Source organism: Homo sapiens, chromosome 6, assembly GCF_000001405.40.
Source record: "Homo sapiens chromosome 6, GRCh38.p14 Primary Assembly".
In the NCBI taxonomy this organism is placed as follows: domain Eukaryota; kingdom Metazoa; phylum Chordata; class Mammalia; order Primates; family Hominidae; genus Homo; species Homo sapiens.
In genome coordinates this window covers 359,469-376,874 of record NC_000006.12, presented here as the reverse complement: position 1 = coordinate 376,874, position 17,406 = coordinate 359,469, and the positions used below count along the sequence as shown (strand labels likewise).

At 48.0% G+C, this 17,406-nt stretch overlaps 6 annotated features.

The window, feature by feature from the left end:
• Nucleotides 1,655-1,855: a silencer, noted in NCBI's record as "peak5616 fragment used in MPRA reporter construct". NCBI's record gives its function as "represses an SCP1 promoter by STARR-seq MPRAs in K562 erythroleukemia cells {active_cell/tissue: K562}" and the evidence as "EXISTENCE:reporter gene assay evidence [ECO:0000049][PMID:32103011]".
• Nucleotides 2,683-3,256: an enhancer, noted in NCBI's record as "H3K4me1 hESC enhancer chr6:373619-374192 (GRCh37/hg19 assembly coordinates)". NCBI's record gives its function as "activates a minimal SCP1, AML or CMV promoter by ChIP-STARR-seq in primed H9 embryonic stem cells {active_cell/tissue: H9 hESC(primed)}" and the evidence as "EXISTENCE:reporter gene assay evidence [ECO:0000049][PMID:30033119]".
• Nucleotides 4,090-4,339: an enhancer, noted in NCBI's record as "active region_23838". NCBI's record gives its function as "activates an Ori minimal core promoter by ATAC-STARR-seq in GM12878 lymphoblastoid cells {active_cell/tissue: GM12878}" and the evidence as "EXISTENCE:reporter gene assay evidence [ECO:0000049][PMID:35858748]".
• Nucleotides 15,235-15,734: an enhancer, noted in NCBI's record as "H3K4me1 hESC enhancer chr6:361141-361640 (GRCh37/hg19 assembly coordinates)". NCBI's record gives its function as "activates a minimal SCP1, AML or CMV promoter by ChIP-STARR-seq in naive H9 embryonic stem cells {active_cell/tissue: H9 hESC(naive)}" and the evidence as "EXISTENCE:reporter gene assay evidence [ECO:0000049][PMID:30033119]".
• Nucleotides 15,235-15,782: a biological region, named in NCBI's record as "H3K4me1 hESC enhancer GRCh37_chr6:361141-361640".
• Nucleotides 15,590-15,782: a silencer, noted in NCBI's record as "fragment chr6:361093-361285 (GRCh37/hg19 assembly coordinates)". NCBI's record gives its function as "represses an EF-1alpha promoter that drives an FKBP-Casp9 reporter gene in an ReSE screen in phorbol 12-myristate 13-acetate-treated (for megakaryocytic differentiation) K562 erythroleukemia cells {active_cell/tissue: K562(+PMA)}" and the evidence as "EXISTENCE:reporter gene assay evidence [ECO:0000049][PMID:32094911]".

Sequence of the window (17,406 nt, the reverse complement as noted above, 5' to 3'; positions counted from 1 at the left end):
TAAAGACAGCATAATATAATTATATCAGCTACTCACTTTGGTCAGAAAATCTTCCTTTTTATCTATTTTAATTGAAAAGTAAACATTGTATATATTTATGGTGTACAATATGTTTATATATATACACACACATTGTGGAAAGGCTACATCAAACATGTATATATAACCTCGCCTTTTTTGTGCACTGAGAATACTTAAAATCTACTCTTCTAGCTACTTTCAAGTATACAATTCACTGTTATTAAATATAGTCACCATGCTGTACAATGGCCCTCTTGAACTAATTCCTCCCATCTAACTAAGATTTTGTATCCTTACACCAGCATCCCCCTAAGCCCCTCACCCCTGCCCCGGTACCCACCATTGTGCTACCTACTTCTATGAGTTGGACGTTTTCAGATTCCACATGTGACTGAGATCATGTGGTATTTGTCTCTCTGTGCCTGGCTTATTTCACTTAGAATCATGTCCTCCAGGTTCATCCACATTGTCACAAATGACAGGACTTCTTTCTTCTTTAAGGCTGAATCTTATCCCATGGTGTACGTCCACCACACTTTATCCGTGTGTCCACTGATGGGACACCAAGACTGATTTTGGATCTGGGCTATTGTGAGCATGGGAGGGCAGACATCTCTTCAATATATTGATTTCAATATTTTTTGGATATATACCCAGTAGTGAGGTTGCTGGATTATATAGTAGCTCCATTTTTAATCTTCTGAGGAACTTCCACACTGTTTTCCATAATGGCTATACGAATTTACCTTCTGACCCACAGTGTACCAGGGTTCTCTTTTCTTTGATGGACATGCTTTTTGATCTTTGATTTGTGCATTTCTCCTGTAATCTCTTATTTTCTCTTCTATTTCTTAATTATGTTTAATAGAACTTAAAATAGTGTTGTGCACAAAGTAAGCTACCCATCCGGCAAAAGAGAGTTTAGACAGTTTTTCAAATAAGGCTGATTTGTAAAAACCTGCTATTAAATACAGATAAGAAATGTTGGTCTGCACTACTCTAACTATCCATCGACACTGGCCAGACTCAGCGGCCTTTTCCCTCTCCACCTCACTCGGCCCCTTCAGCGACCTCACTGCTATTGCACATTTTACATGGTTCTCAAGCTTTCCACATGATGCTTGAGTGCTGCCAGGGTTTAAAAGTGTCTTTTTTTTTTTTTTTTTTTTTTTTTTTTTAGATGGAATCTTGCTCTGTCACCAGGCTGGAGGCTGGAGTGCAGTGGCACGATCTCGGCTCACTGCAACCTCCACCTCCCGGATTCAAGCAATTCTCCTGCCTCAGCCTCCTGAGTAGCTGGGACTACAGGCACATGCTACCATGCCCAGCTAATTTTTGTATTTTTAGTAAAGACGGGGTTTCACCATGTTGGCCAGGATGGTCTTGATCTCTTGACCTCATGATCCGCCTGCCTCGGCCTCCCAAAGTGCTGGGATTACACGTGTGAGCCTCCATGCCTGGCTAAAAGTGTGTTTTCATCCCAAGTCCTTTCACTTTATTCCACAGGGGAGTAGATCAGTAGAGTCTTCTTAACGGTTTGTCCAAGAGCTGCCCCATCTCTCATGCTCCTGACACTTTGGCAGTACTGGTCACTCACTTTGTGGATTGCCTCTCTGTTGGGTGTGTCTGATGTTTCCTCCGGTTGCACTGAGGTTAGTGAATGTTTGGCAGGAATGCCACCGACGGGCATGTGTCCTCCTCACTGCCACGTGTCTGGGGGATGTGATGTCCGTGGTCCTAGGAGTGGTGCTGTTTCCCTGGATCACTTGGTTAAGGTGGTGTTTGCAGGATTTCTCCATCAGCTGCGACAATGAGAATGTCCGGCTTCTCCTCAAAGCCTTGCCCAGTGGTTGCAGTGTCCACCCATGGCTCTTGCTGACAGCAGTTGCTGCTGTAAAGTTTGCCTAGTGATGATTTTGTATTTTTCTCATTCCTTCCACAATCATTAACCTGGGTTCTTCTATAAGGAAGAACCGTCTCTTCTCTGTTGTTTATTATTTATTCAATTATTTATTTACATCAATCTGGACTTAGGGATATTTATTTTTATTCCATGGATTAGAATCCATTATTCTCATTTTTTATTTTGTTGCTCAAATTGCTCCACTTTTGGCCACTGGAAGCTCCTTCAGGTTAGTCATGTGGCTTCTTGTCATACCCCTTTCTTTTTCAAGCACCTCTTCATTTTCTGGCCCCATAAGATGTCTGAGGCTCCTCTGGTATTTTCCCTGCTCCAGGCCGGGAATCGATCCATGAAACCTATACTCACATATTGTTATCCATTTCACAGTCATTTGTAATCCAAATTTATAAACAGTCAAAAGCCAGGCGGTGAACCGCTCCGGACCCCACGGAGCAGGGGCCACCGAATAGCAACGTGAGAAGCATTCTCGCTGCTGCTGGGCAGCACCACTCAACTCTCCCAGGATAAAGCACTTGAAGAGTCTCTTGTGATTCTTATCACGGGCAAAACATTCTAATTGAACTTTTCAAAACTACAGTTTGAATGACACAAGATGGACCAGAACCCCTTGATTTGCCCTTTTGCATTTGAATCCACTGGAGATGCTGGCCCCTGGCGAGCAGGGAGCTGGCCTCTCTGGTCCTGGCTGTGCCCACTCTACCTGGAGCAGCCCCTGACACGCTAAGGAGCTCACCAGTGTGAGGGCAACGAGCAGAGCTCGGCTCACTTCTGTCCCCCTTGGCGGCCCCTCATCCCTCAGCAGAAGGAGTACTGGTGAGCGGCCAAAGAAGGAATTGGTTGCTTTAAAGCAATTCCAGCTTCTGCCAGCCTGGGGAGCCTAAAACCAGGAATCAAACCTCAGTCCTAATTTTTCTAAAAATAGCTCTTAAGGAAATAAGGTTCAGGAAAGCATAAGTCGCTCTGCAGAGTTGAATTCAGGCTGCTGCAGCGGCCAGGAAGCAGGGACACGCCGTGGGACATGTCAGCCAGTGCGTCACTGGCAAGCTTGGTATGTAACGTGCAATCCTTACATGGATTCTGCAAAACCCACTGGCATGCCTATGCCAAATTTATAAACAGTCAAAAGCCAGGCGGTGAACCGCTCCGGACCCCACGGAGCAGGGGCCACCTGATAGCAACGTGAGAAGCATTCTCGCTGCTGCTGGGCAGCACCACTCAACTCTCCCAGGATAAAGCACTTGAAGAATCTCTTGTGATTCTTATCACGGGCAAAACATTCTAATCGAACTTTTCAAAACTGCAGTTTGAATGACACAAGACGGGCCAGAACCCCTTGATTTGCCCTTTTGCATTGGTAAAGCGAGGCCATTTGTGGCATGGATTCTCAGATTCATGAAATGTGGCATCATAAACTGTAAAGAACAGTCCTTTACACTTTCCAGGACAGGTCAACCTCTTAACAGAGCTGTAAAATGCTGCCAGTCCTGGCTCCTGACTGTCTTTGGGATGTGAGAACAAGGAAGCCAATTGAGTTTTCCTCACCTTTGGGAGGCAGTCATAAAAAAGCAAAGTTTAAAGCCAGCTGCAGAGTTCCAACTCTGATACTGACTGCCCTTCCCTCAGGCACCAGCAGACCTTCCAGCCGCCACCCTCGCCGGGCACACATCCACCACCTTCACTCCATTGTCCTTTATGAAGCACCTGCAATGTGCCATGTTCCCTGCGAGGGCCTGGAGGGGCACAGCAGTGAGCGGTGGGCAAGGCCGATGAATGCGCTCCTCTAGAGGGGTTTGCATTTTCTGTATCAGTCTGGGCTTGTGGGTGTTTATTTTGCTCTGTGGGTTAGAACGTAATACTACATCTTTTTTTCTCAGCTTGCTCCAGCTCTTGCCTTGGGCACTACCTCAGGTGGCACTGGTGGCCCTCCATGGGCCCTGTCCTTTCTCCAGCACATCCGTCTTTTCTGGACGGGGAGATAAAGGACTGAGCCGCAATGACAGTACCGGGGAACCAGCATGTCTGAGCTCCAGGAGCTTTCACCAGGCATGACTTAACCTGAGGTCCATGGAGGGGAGGGAGACAGGCCAGTGGGGTCGGGGTGGAAAGTGCAGAGGGGAGAGGGCATGGCGCCTTTGAGGAAGTGAAAGGAGGATGCAGGCTGCGTGCCGGTGGGGCATGTGGCCAGAGGAGGGCTGAGCAGCGGGCAGGCGCCGTGGCCAGGGGATCCTGTGAGGCCAGTGAAGGGGGCTCAGACGCCATGGGGGAAAGGAAGCCATGAAGAGTGTTCAACAGGGCTCCTGCTAGTATTAAATGAACTAATACCTGCTACAGTGTCTGCCACATAGGAGGTGCTCAAAAAACGGTGGCTGCTACTGTTACTATTATTACTACTACTGCTGCTGCGGCTGCCGAGGCTCTGATGCTGCTGCGGCTGTTGCACTGCGACTGCTACCTAAGCTGCTGCTACTCCTGCACTGCAACTGCTGCTGCTGCTACTCCTGCCACAGCTGCTGCAAGTGCCGCTGCTGCTACTCCTGCCACAGCTACTGCAACTGCCGATGCTGCTACTCCTGCCACAGCTACTGCAACTGCCGATGCTGCTACTCCTCCTGCCACAGCTGCTGCAACTGCCGATGCTGCTACTCCTCCTGCCACAGCTGCTGCAACTGCCGATGCTGCTACTCCTCCTGCCACAGCTGCTGCAACTGCCGATGCTGCTACTCCTCCTGCCACAGCTGCTGCAACTGCCGATGCTGCTACTCCTGCCACAGCTGCTGCAACTGCTGATGCTGCTACTCCTCCTGCCACAGCTACTGCAACTGCTGATGCTGCTACTCCTCCTGCCACAGCTACTGCAACTGCTGATGCTGCTACTCCTCCTGCCACAGCTATTGCAACTGCTGCTACTCCTCCTGCCACAGCTACTGCAACTGCTGCTACTCCTCCTGCCACAGCTACTGCAACTGCTGCTGCTGCTACTCCTCCTGCCACAGCTACTGCAACTACTGATGCTGCTACTCCTGCCACAGCTACTGCAACTGCTGATGCTGCTACTCCTCCTGCCACAGCTACTGCAACTGCTGATGCTGCTACTCCTCCTGCCACAGCTACTGCAACTGCTGCTGCTGCTACTCCTCCTGCCACAGCTACTGCAACTACTGATGCTGCTACTCCTGCCACAGCTACTGCAACTGCTGATGCTGCTAATCCTCCTGCCACAGCTACGGCAACTGCTGCTGCTGCTACTCCTCCTGCCACAGCTACTGCAACAGCTGCTGCTGCTACTCCTGCCACAGCTACTGCAACTGCTGCTACTCCTCCTGCCACAGCTACTGCAACTGCTGATGCTGCTACTCCTCCTGCCACAGCTACTGCAACTGCTGATGCTGCTACTCCTCCTGCCACAGCTACTGCAACTGCTGCTGCTGCTACTCCTGCCACAGCTACTGCAACTGCTGCTGCTGCTACTCCTGCCACAGCTACTGCAACTGCTGCTGCTGCTACTCCTGCCACAGCTACTGCAACTGCTGATGCTGCTACTCCTCCTGCCACAGCTACTGCAACTGCTGATGCTGCTACTCCTCCTGCCACAGCTACTGCAACTGCTGATGCTGCTACTCCTCCTGCCACAGCTACTGCAACTGCTGCTGCTGCTACTCCTGCCACAGCTACTGCAACTGCTGCTGCTGCTACTCCTCCTGCCACAGCTACGGCAACTGCTGCTGCTGCTACTCCTCCTGCCACAGCTACGGCAACTGCTGCTGCTGCTACTCCTCCTGCCACAGCTACGGCAACTGCTGCTGCTGCTACTCCTCCTGCCACAGCTACGGCAACTGCTGCTGCTGCTACTCCTCCTGCCACAGCTACTGCAACTGCTGCTACTACCACTACTATTACTGCCGCTGCTACTGCACTGCTCATGTAACTATTGTTATTACTACTTCTCCGTATCTTTGTCATTAACTCCCATTTGGGAAGCTATAATCAAAGTTCTTTCTTCAGTGAGCTCTTTGCATATCTGAGGACCCCCAAACCGGATCCTGGCCCCCCTCCATAACACTTGTTAATCTACAGCGAAGTTGTTCACACTCGATGGGTGCAGTGTGCCAGGGGGTCTGGGCCACCCCTCTGAGGCCCTTCTGGCCTGTTGGGAACTCCAGCATGGAGAGGACAGGCTCGGATGCACAGCCAACCATGAGTCTGTGACTCCGCATGTACTTATTCCCTGCCACTGTGTCAGCCTTGGGTTCATGAGAAGGTGATTTCAACCCAAACGGCCTTGCTCCCTCTAAAGGCATATGCAGAGTGCCCACCCTGTGCCAAGCACTGCTCTGGGGTACAGCAGGGTAAGGTGGCTCCAGGGTCCCCTCAGAGCCTACATCGGGGCAGGCAGAGCACGAGAAGGGTCTCCAAAATAATATGTCAGAACATCCGTCTGTACGTGTTTGCATCTAGAATATTAGAAATGAGCTGAAGCCTAGAGTGCCAGCTAGTAGTGCTCATATTAGCAGAAGTCACAGCAGTGTGTGCAGGGAACCTCCCCGGCCACTGCCACAGCCCACTGTAGGGAGCCCCCTTACATGGATTTGCAGGTTCTGGTTTTAAGCAGAAAACCCCCAAAAGAACTTTCAGCAACAAAACTGAAAGAAATATAATACAATAAAGAGCCAGCCAAAAAATGGTGAGCTGGGCCCCAGCCCAGCACAGGTTTGGTCGGCTGCCTGTCCAGGCCAAACCCATGAAGTGCCGACCAGATCTGAGCAGAAATCACCTCTGCAAGAGAAACCCTCAGAATGGCTATTTGAATATGGATTTCCGTCTTCAGTCCTCAACGCTGCACCCCATGCCGGCGTGTGTTTCACCCTAAGGTCTTAGCCAGTGCTATCAACCCTATCTCAGGGAATGGGAGGTGGGCACCTATGCTCCCTGCCCACATGGAGGTGCAGTGTGTAAATGTTTGGAGGACAGGGACTCAGAGTCACCGAAACCCCACACTCCCAGAATGAATCACTCATTCAATAACATTTATGCAGGCAGCATTTTGGAATCTGACAGCCCCTCACCTGCAGTCCGCTCCCTTCACATCCCAGAGCCCAGGAATTCAGAACTCTCTCCACCAGCCCCTCCGGGGAGGGCTTCCATGGGCCCTCACAGGGCAGCAAGCCACAGAAAACCTGGGGTCTGCCAGGCAGGACCACACAGACAGCTTCAGGACCAGGTCTCTGTTTGCGACCTGGCAAGGCCATTTCTAACTCTGTGACCCTAAGCAAGTTTCCCAGCAGTCTGAGGATGGAACTCGCAGCTTCAGCCTGATGCTGAAGGACATGAGGCTTGAAAAATCCTTGGCGAGTGGGCAGGCAGGGAGAAGGAGGCAGCAGCTGCTGCCTTCTTCTAGTGGCCATCCTGACCTCTGGAGTAAAAATGAGACATATCTCCTTTCCTTTCAGAAGTCGTGAAAAGCACCTCTTCTTTCTAAGGACAATAGGATGAGGGTTAAAAAACTCATCAAAATGCTTCATGCAATGGTTAAATCAAGCTAATTAACATATGCATTGCCACACATTCTTATATTTTAGTGGTGAGAGTACTTAAAGTCCACTATTTTAGTAATTTGCAAGCATACAATACATTGTTATTAATTATATTCACTGAATTGTACAATGGATGCTTTGTACTTATTCTACAATGTTTACGTATTTTCAAAATATATTGTACGCCATAAACATATACAATTTTTGTCCATTAAAATTTGTTGAAATTAAGAAGAAATGAAATGCTTTGCGTTCATTGGTAGAGAAGGTGGTCAATAAGCGTGGAATGGATTCGCAGTCCAGTCACTCGGCCGTGCAGGAAGCCAGCGTCTGGCAAGGGCTGAGTGGCCTGAGGAATTTCACTGTTTTTAGGGCTGATGTCACTTTTCCCTGGCTGCGCACTAGGTCATAGTATGTCTCCAAAGTTGGGATAAACATTTCCTGAGTGCCAGAGTCCCCATTTAAAAAATAATAGTAATGGCCGGGCGCAGTGCCTCACGCCTGTAATCCCAGCACTTTGGGAGGTTGAGGCAGGTGGATCACGAGGTCAGGAGATCGAGACCATCCTGGCCAACATGGTGAAACCCCCTCTCTACTAAAAATACAAATGTTAGGTGGGTGTGGTGGTGCCTGCCTGTAATCCCAGCTACTCGGGAGGCTGAGGCAGGAGAATCGCTTGGGCCAGGGAGTCGGAGCTTGCAGTGAGCAGAGATCGCACGACAGCACTCCAGCCTGGCAATAGAGCGAGACTTCACCTAAAAAAAAATAATTATAATAATAGCAGTTGAAATCCTCGAATTTACAAAATAAAATGTCTCCAAAGACCCAAGGATGAGAACGCGATCACAGAAACAAAGAGAAGGGAAGTCCTGGGGGCTGTGAGCCCAGCTATGCCCAGGGAGCCTGTGGGTTCAGGGAGCAGAGCTGGGGCGTCAAGTTCTCACAGGTAACAGCTTCTCACAGAGCTGGGAGCTTCCTGCTCCTGGAGAGTCCACAGGCCTCCATCAGCCGCAAACATTTCTGGGGGACAGAATGTCACCTTCAGGGAAGAACAGACACACTCCTGAGGGGACTGTAACAGCAACCACTAACCACTCTCCTCCCTGGGATTCTCAGAGCTTCATCCTCTCACTGACTCTGGAGAGAGGAGATGTGCGCAGAGAATTCAGAACCCCTCCCATCGCCACCACCTCCCACAGCCGGAAAGCAAACTACTTATTCCTGGAATGGTTTAGAGAAACACGTGCTGGGGGGCAGGGGGCTTCTCTTACATCTCCTTCTTTCTGGGGGCGCGGGGGGGAAGAGAGAGAGAGATTAAGTCTATTATCACACTACTGTGCCTCACATTCGGGTAGAATTCCATGCCCTCGTTGAGGTGAATGGTGCTCAGTGGTGCTGGGGTGACTGGGCTGGAACACCCGCGTGTGGAGGCACATCTTTTTAAAGGCAACACTTCCTTTGTGCTGCTTCTCTCTTTGCAGTTCAGATTTGGAGAGAACGTGGTTTCGACCCAGGCTCTATTACTTACCTGCTATGTGGCTCGGAGCAAATTATTTAACCTCTTTTGGCATCAGCTTCCTCCTCTGTAACACAGGACACAATATTGATCTGGCAGTGATGAATACAGAATGTGTCCAAGTGCCTGCAACAATGCTGAAGAATGTGTGTGTGTGTATGTGAGTCCTGTATGAGTGTGCATACACTTTGTATGTGTATGTGCATGAATCGTATGTGTGTGTATGTCTGTATGCATGCATTGTGTATATGTACACATGTGCACGTCGTATATGTGTATGCATGCATCGTGTATGTCTGTCTGCACGTGTATGCACACATGTGGGTATGCGTGTATTGTGTGTGCACATGCTATATGTGTATGCATGTTATTGTGTGTGTACACACATAGTATGTGTATGCAAGCATTCAGACATGTGGATGTGTGAATGTATCTGTGCATATGTGCACATGCTATATGTGTATCTGCATGTATTGTGTATGTGTGTGCATATGCACACGTGTAGATGCATGTGTCGTGTGTACATGTGTGTATGTGCATGTGCACACATATGCATGCATGCATTCTGTGTGTGCTTTGCCCTCAGTTTACTCTCACCATATATTTCTGGTGCTGTTATTCTTGGTGTCAAAACAAAGAAGAGGGTTGAGGAGGGACCCAAGGCTGCAGCAGAGCCCCCGGAGTGCGTCCCATGGCCTCCCCATGTCCTCCTCGCAGGGCCGAGGCAGACTTGCCCACTGGAGCAAAAGAGGGGTCAGGAGAGGAGATTGCCTGAGCAGCTGAAATGCCGCCATCATTTATTTGTCAAATCCCCAAAGGTACCCTCTGCCAACTACAGTTTACCGACTCGCATCACAGCAGTCTCCTCTTACGTTATTAAGCTCCAAACAGAGTGCTTTGTTTCTAATTCACCAACACACAGAGCTCCAAAGAACTGAGAGATAGAATTTCATGTCTTGGCATCTCAGCCACCCCAGAGAAAAAGAAGTAAGCAGTCAGCGAGTCCCTGGTCTCAGATAAAACAAAGTATGTTAATTCAGGCTGATTTCTTCTCGCTCCTAAAGGGATTTTATGCTGTGCCAAATGCTGGATGATAAGAACTTCTTCAGTTTTGTTTCTTTAGATCTGTTTCCTTTTAACCTCTACCCCACTGTGAACTTCATTCCTTCATATTAAGAATAACAGTAGATTCAAAATTCTGGAGCAGCACTAGCAAAATATAACGAGAATGTGGAACGCTGGTCCTCACACCACAAAAACAAATGAAATGCAACTTGTTGCTGAATAAACTTAGATTTACTTTATTAGATGACTTTACTATAAGCTTCCCCCGTTTCTGCGGCTTCATGGGATCTTAGCCTGCGTCAGCCAAACCACTTGCTATTTTTCTGTTGCTAAAACCAGGTCGTGTGGTGTCTCAACGAGGAGACGAGAGCTGTACTCTTTTTCTCCTCATCTTCCTCTCGTGGACAGTGCATACTACCAATAATATTTTAGGAGATTCCAGAATTTACCCAAATGGTAAGAAAAGTCATCAATTCCACAAAAGAGTTTGTATTTCAAATATATGTAAAAACTAAACAAAAACTCCAGTACAGTAGCATGCAGCACTCTCAAAGGGAAGGAGGTTTACATCGAGCACCACTTGGTTCTAGACAGGTACCCAGGTGGTAAGTGAAAATTCAGTGAAGTCTAACACAAGATCCTCCACCTTGGCTCTCGTGATACTTGGGCCGGGTAATTCCCAGCTCTGGAGGCTGCCCTGTGCTTTGTAGGGGGCTTAGCACCTTCCCCTATCTTCTTGATGTCAGGAGAAGCCCCCACACCAGGTGTGACAGCCAAAAATGTCTCCAGACAAATGTCCCCAGGGGGCAGTCAGCCCCGGTGGAGAACCACTGTGAGAACCAACTCACTAGTGATCAGTCCTGCACTCCAATAAAAAAGAAACCGGGCTGTTCAATCAAAAGGAAAGATCCACCCAGACGTGCCCCAGGGGGCAGAAGCTCAAAAACTTTATGCCGGGTGAAGAAAGCCAGACATGAAGGATGGCGTGATTCTTTTTATATGAAATGTCCTAAGAAGGCAAACTGATAGAGACAAAAAGCAGATTGGTGGTTGTCAATATGGGGAGTGGGAATGGGAATTCACTGTATTCACTGCATATAGGCAGCGGGATCTTACTGGGGCAATGAAAATATTCTGAAACCAGATGATGGAGATGGCTGCACACTGCAGTAGGTTTACTAAAAATCCTTGTACACTGTAGGCGAGTGAATTTTTTTTTTTTTTTTTTTTTTTGAGGTGGAGTTTTGCTCTTGTCACCCAGGCTGGAGTGCGATGGCTTGATCTCGGCTCACTGCAAACTCTGCCTCCCGGGTTCAAGCAATTCTTCTGCCTCAGCCTCCCGAGTGGCTGGGACTACAGATGCATGCCACCACACCCAGCTAATTTTGTATTTTTAGTAGAGATGGGGTTTCTCCATGTTGGTCAGGCTGGTCTCGAACTCCCGACCTCAGGTGAATTTTATGGTATGTGAATCTTACCTCAATAAAGCTGTTTTCAAAAAGCATGAAAAAAATTAGGAGAGGATGGTGTTTTGTAGGAGAAGAAAATCAAAATAGGAGTTAAAACCAATCCCAGTGACTTCCTTTAACTATGGGAAATAATCTCCTAAAAACAGAGAGATCAGATTCCCCACATTCTAGCTAGCCAAATGACCGTTACGGCAAGCCCACAATATTTTTGCTGGTCAGACAGCTGCAGTGTCTGTTAGCACCTGATGCAACCCAATGGGCTGTCTAATGAGCTCTGGTGTGTATCTTTCTGTGGAAAATAATGTGTATGCATGGTCACCCAAGTTCAACACGGCCAGGGGTGGGGCCGGGGGTCAGCACGGGTGTGTCTTGTAAGGCAGTCTGTGTTGCCTGTTAGGATATAAAACAATTGGTATCAGCAATGAAACATGCCCAGTGTGACCTGCTATTTAAAGAGGAAAAAGGCTTGAAACCACTCAGACGCCCAGAATTCCCCATTGCCCACTCAAAACTCTACCATAGTAAAAAAAAAAAAAAAAAAAAAAAAAAAAAAGTTTCTCTGTCCTTTGGTTTGCATTACAGAACAGCTGCTGTTGCTATTCAAAGACATTCTGAGGACTCTTAGTGTAAATGGGGTAACCCATGTCTTCTTGGAGAATTCAGCTGCTGTTAATTTACTGTAAAAAATATCCACTCTTTTAGAGACCTAGAGATTTTCAGGGGGTTCATGACCTGTCTGAGAGCCACGAGATGGGTGTCTGTCCACTACTGGAGGCCTTTCCTGCCATGTTCTAAATATGAACGTGGCTGTAACACTCAGCCCTGAGTCAGGAGGCAACCTGTGCCGTTTCAGGAATCTGTAGCTCTGTGGAGCCAAGCACCACGAGAAATGCGTAGAAACTGGGGTTTTGGGATAAATTATCCTGGGACGCCAATCTGGCAAAGTTTTGGATAAAGAAAGGTGATAACAGAAAATTCTATCATTTTCGAGACATGTTGTCGCAGCGACAATGAAGAGCGGAAATAGTTTTCATGATTCTAATTTCTCCCAAAGGCCACACATCAAAAAGACACTTCTATCTTTTAATGACTCTCCATCTGGTATGTTACAGAAGAGAAAACTCTGAGAAATCCTGCCCCTACTCTAAGGACTGGGAAACTGTGGACGGGAGAGGCTGCACTGAGCCTGAGCAGAAGGGCCAGTGAGGCAGGGGACGCACCCAGCAGCGTTTGACAACACTGCAGGGAGAGCCACCAAAGTCACAAATCATGCCAAGCGCGAGGTCAGGATCCACCTGATCAGATCCCACTCGTTTCCTAGAAAACGGCGTGTAGAACGTTCTCTCTGGTTTTTGTTGACCAGCAGGCTCTGAAGCGTCACAGGACAGCAGTGTCTATTCTGTGAAATGCACGTCGGGGATTTTACGGTGAGGTCTCCTTGAGTGAGATTTGGGCAACAACCACACTAAGAACAAGGGTCTCATAAAATACGCAAATAAGCAAAAGGTGATGTCGCTGCAGAAGCCACAGTTTGTTTGTTTTTACCTTAAATCTCGCCTGCTTCCTTTTGGCAAATAGATAAATAAATATAAGCTTCAGAGGTCGTTTTGAGAAGTTTTCTTTCCACACGTGAACATTTGTCTAGTGCTATTATCAGATCAAAAAGTATACATCTGGGACAAAAGAAAATCTTCACCACCCAAGTGATGCCAGTCAGGCGAATTTCCCAAATCTCAAGTTGTTTTTTACTTCCGAAGAATGTCATGGTTTTCTGCTTCCTAACCTTTGAGTCTGAAGCTGGTAGACGTCGAAGAGGGCGGTGGGTTTTCTGCTTCCTAACCTTTGAGTCTGAAGCTGGTAGACGTCGAAGAGGGTGGTGGTGGTGTGCCGAGTCAGTTCAGTCTGGCTCAGAAAGTCAGGAGGACGCCCACCATTCCACTGAATCACTGTCTCTTTAAACGGGTGGTTGTCACAGCCACTTTTTAATCGCCCCATTGCTTCTTTTCCGATTGAAATTTTTCTTTTGAAGATCATTCTTTTCCAAGGACTTGCAAGCTTTTCTTTTTTTTTTGTAAAAGTTTTGGGGCAAAACGATTCTTACCTCTGGGGCAAGAGGACATTGGCTGTACCGCCTTAGAAGTATATTCATTTGTGTTTGATGATTTGTATTAGACTGAATAGCAGTCACTGGTTCAGAATTGCATTTCTTAGAATACATAATTCAGTGCTTGGTCTGTCCAACTATGGATGAAGCGGCGCCCTCTGTCCACCTCAAGTGCTCCCCAGAGCACGCCCTTCTGTTGGAGCATCTGCGCCTGCTCCCAGGCAGTCACCCAGGTCAAATTTCCTCCTCCCTGCTTGCTCAGTGCTTGGGCCACTAGCCTCATCTGCCCTCCCAGGAAGCTTCTGGGGGCCTCTTGTTTCTTTTTGGTAGCTTTGTCTTTCTTGAATCTTCCAAGAATTTGGGAGACTTTGGAATTGTCTTTGCCTCTTCCGCAATGTCTCTCCTGGACAAATCCATGTCTACTCACTGCCATCTCATCAAGATGGCGCCCAGCTGTGTGTCCAGACTTCCTCAGTGGGATCCCACACACCGCCAGTTCATGCCTACTACGAGCCTCAAAGATGACTTCCAAGTCCTATAGCCTCAAGGCACACCCTCACGGAAAACCATTTTCCTGCATGACTGTATTGTGTGGTGACAACACTGTCTTGTGGATTAGGTAACTGTGGTCCCCTCCACTTGTCGTCTTTTTTTATTAACTTATAAACAAATCCATTTCAAATTAATTATGTCATCTGCTTAGGCTATCTCGACCTTTGCTTCTAAGTTATTCTGAAAGGACTTTGTTTTGCTTACTTGAAGAGCTCCTTGACCCTGGGTTCCAATGCGGTCTAGGGCAAAGAGCCTTGGACCCAGAGTCAGGCCGCAGTGCTAGATGAGCCTCCGCTGCTCAGAGCTAAATGTGCGCTAGTTATTTTATAGGTTTGTTGCGAAAAAGAGTTAATTTTTGTGAAAGTGCTCTGTAGCGGAAAACATTTTGAAAGCGTTCTAGAATTGGCCAAATAAAAGTAGTTTTCTGGATTCTGACATAGATGAAGGAACAATACATTTTTTTTTTTGTAATCTCAGAAAGAAACTATTGGACAGAAAATCTAGAGAATCTTTTTTTTTTTCCCTAAGAAACTACATAAAAGATGTTGCAAACTAAAACAGATTTGGAAACCTGAATGCCACGTGTGGCCCTGAAGCGTTCACAAAGGCACTGTGAAGTCTAGGCCGGGAGTCCGCAGCGGGGACGTGGTGGTCAGTCCAGTGGCTCACGTTGTTCAGTGTTAACCTGGGCATTTTATAGCAGTGCGGGAGGCCGGTATCAGAAGCTGTGCATCTTTCAAAGAAAAGTTGCTTTAAACAACTGTTTCAATTGCCACAGTGAACTTTGTTCAGAGCTAGTTTCACAGCAAACAGTCAACATCAAACTCTTCCAAGAAATGAGCGTACATTGAGAGAAAGGCAGTGGAAGAAAAAATCTAGGAAATAGAACAAGGCTATCAGATAGTAAGTGCATGGATCTGAGTGAAAGGTGACAAGAATCAGGTCAATGATAGGCTCAGAAAGAGACAATAGTTTAAAAACCCAAACCAGAAGGTGGACGAAGCTAGAGGCTGGAGCTGCAGGAGCAGTTCACGCAGGTGGAGACAAATGAGCTTGACACCAGGCTTCCCTCGCCTCCAAGTGCAGCCCCCACCCTCTCAGGTGGGTACGTGGCATCAGCTGGGTGGGGGTACGCACACAGCTGGAGGCACAGTGGGGCCAACAGTAATTTTGATGATCTGATTTCAATGCAGAAAAAGGGAATGAACGTGACAGGATGATTTTTTTAAGCTTAAGGAAGCAAAAAAGAAAGCTTAAGAGGCTAACACTCAATTCCTAAAACTTTCTTTTTAACAGAAAGTCCCAGAAACAAATGATGTCAACACACGGAGAAGCTTACGAAGCTCCAGGTGGACTAAAGCTGGCCCTGCCTATTCCACAGCATGCGAAGGGCAAGGAAGGGCTGAGCGTATTTCTAAAGGTGGGGTGAGTGAGGACTCGGGGAGCAGGAGTTTTGCTCCCAGGCAGACCGCTCAGCCAGGCACTCGGCCAGCATGCTAGTAACAGCGAGGTGCACACGCAGCTCCAAGACTGCGCTCTTTCTGTGAAGGATACACAGACTTTGTATCCGCAGCTCTGAGGGATGAGCTGGGGCCCCCGCAGCTGTCCTTGCTGGCTCGCGGGGTGCAGCAACTTCCTGAAACAAGCAAGGCCACAGTGAGGCTCTGACAACAGGCAAAGGGAGGGAGGAGCAGAGACATGCCCAGTGATTTGACAAGGGTCCGAGGGTCCGCGTGGAAGGTGACCCAGCACCTACTGCGTACCAGTCCCTTCTAAGTGGCAGAAAAGCCCCAGGCCCTGCTCTCAAGAAGCTTAAGGTCTCCTGGCAGGAAGGCGGGAGCCCCACCTTAGAGAAACTGTACATGGTGATTCTCAGTACAGTAAGAGGCATTTGCATGACTGGGCCTCATCAAACATTCACAAATATTTAAATTAGATCACATAATCAAATAGAGGTGTTCTGTGATTTTTTAATTTTTTTTTGGCAGTAGAAGTAGTCTTAACAAGCTGTATCTACATAAATTATTATGTTATTATAAATCTGACTCTGAAATGCACTTGGGGAAATGGTAATTTAAAGACACCCTAAAGGGGTTTCTTTGACAAAGAGAAACAGGGAAGCTTCCGCCTCTATCGGCCTCCTGTGAGACGCAGACTTTCCTACGCTGAGTCTCTTAGCGGGAGGGATACCCACAGAACACACTCAGGAAAAACAAAGCAGCTTTCTCATCCAGAGTCCTCAACAATCACCAGTCACCTTCAGTTATCTTTGAAGAAAGGACTAGAAAGAATGAAAGAAGCTGTGAAAAGTCAGATAATTTTCAAGACCTTTTCACTTCTGTTTCTGTAGAAAAAATGAAATGGAACCAGTTGGCAAGTGTGTCAGGTGTCAGGGAAATCCGATTAATGACACCCTTCTATATGACAATCATTAATAACCATGGGATAAAATAAGGGATAGAAAAAACGCATGCAGTAAAGCTTTTCTTTTATTGAATTTTATATTTATCATACCAGTTAAAAAAAACCAAGAAAATAAAATAAATATTACAGTAAAAAAGGGACATGCACGTGGCGATTCTTGGCACAGAAAGAGGGCGTGCTGCGTGACAAATATTTCAATCAGATCATATCGCTCAACAGAGGTGCACTGCAGTTTTTTGTTCGTTTTTGTAGAGGTAGTTTGGGAGCATGGTGGGTGCCCCTGAGCTCCAGCCTCTTCTGGAGGTACGTGCTACTCTGGTCACACCCAGGTGAGGTTGGGGCACAGGGCCGGGCATCTCTGCACCCTTCCCCAACCCTGGCTCCTCAGAAGGGCAGTCCCTGCTGGCAGCGCCCATGGGGCTGGTGGAGAGGAGGTGGGACCGAGCTGTAGTTGGAGGACCCAGCGGCCTCCTCCTCTTGTCACAGGTGTAAACCCCCCAGTGTGCCGTCTGCACCCCTAATGCTGCTTCTGCTTCTGGAGAACCCAAGCCACCGCAGCCAGTCACAAGGAGATGATGGCGATGGCCCCCACATTGTCACCTCATTTGTTCAATTCTTCCATGGAGAGGTCCCTGAGGCGTCCAGTCCAGGCAGTGGTTCCTGCTCCTGACTGCTCTTCCCTCGCAGCCGCCAGCCCAGCATCCCCAGGCCTAAATCAAGCCCCAGGGCCTTCCACAGCCGCCCACAGCCCACAGCACAGGAGCTTCCTGGGCAGGCACCTGGAAACCAGCCCTTCTTGC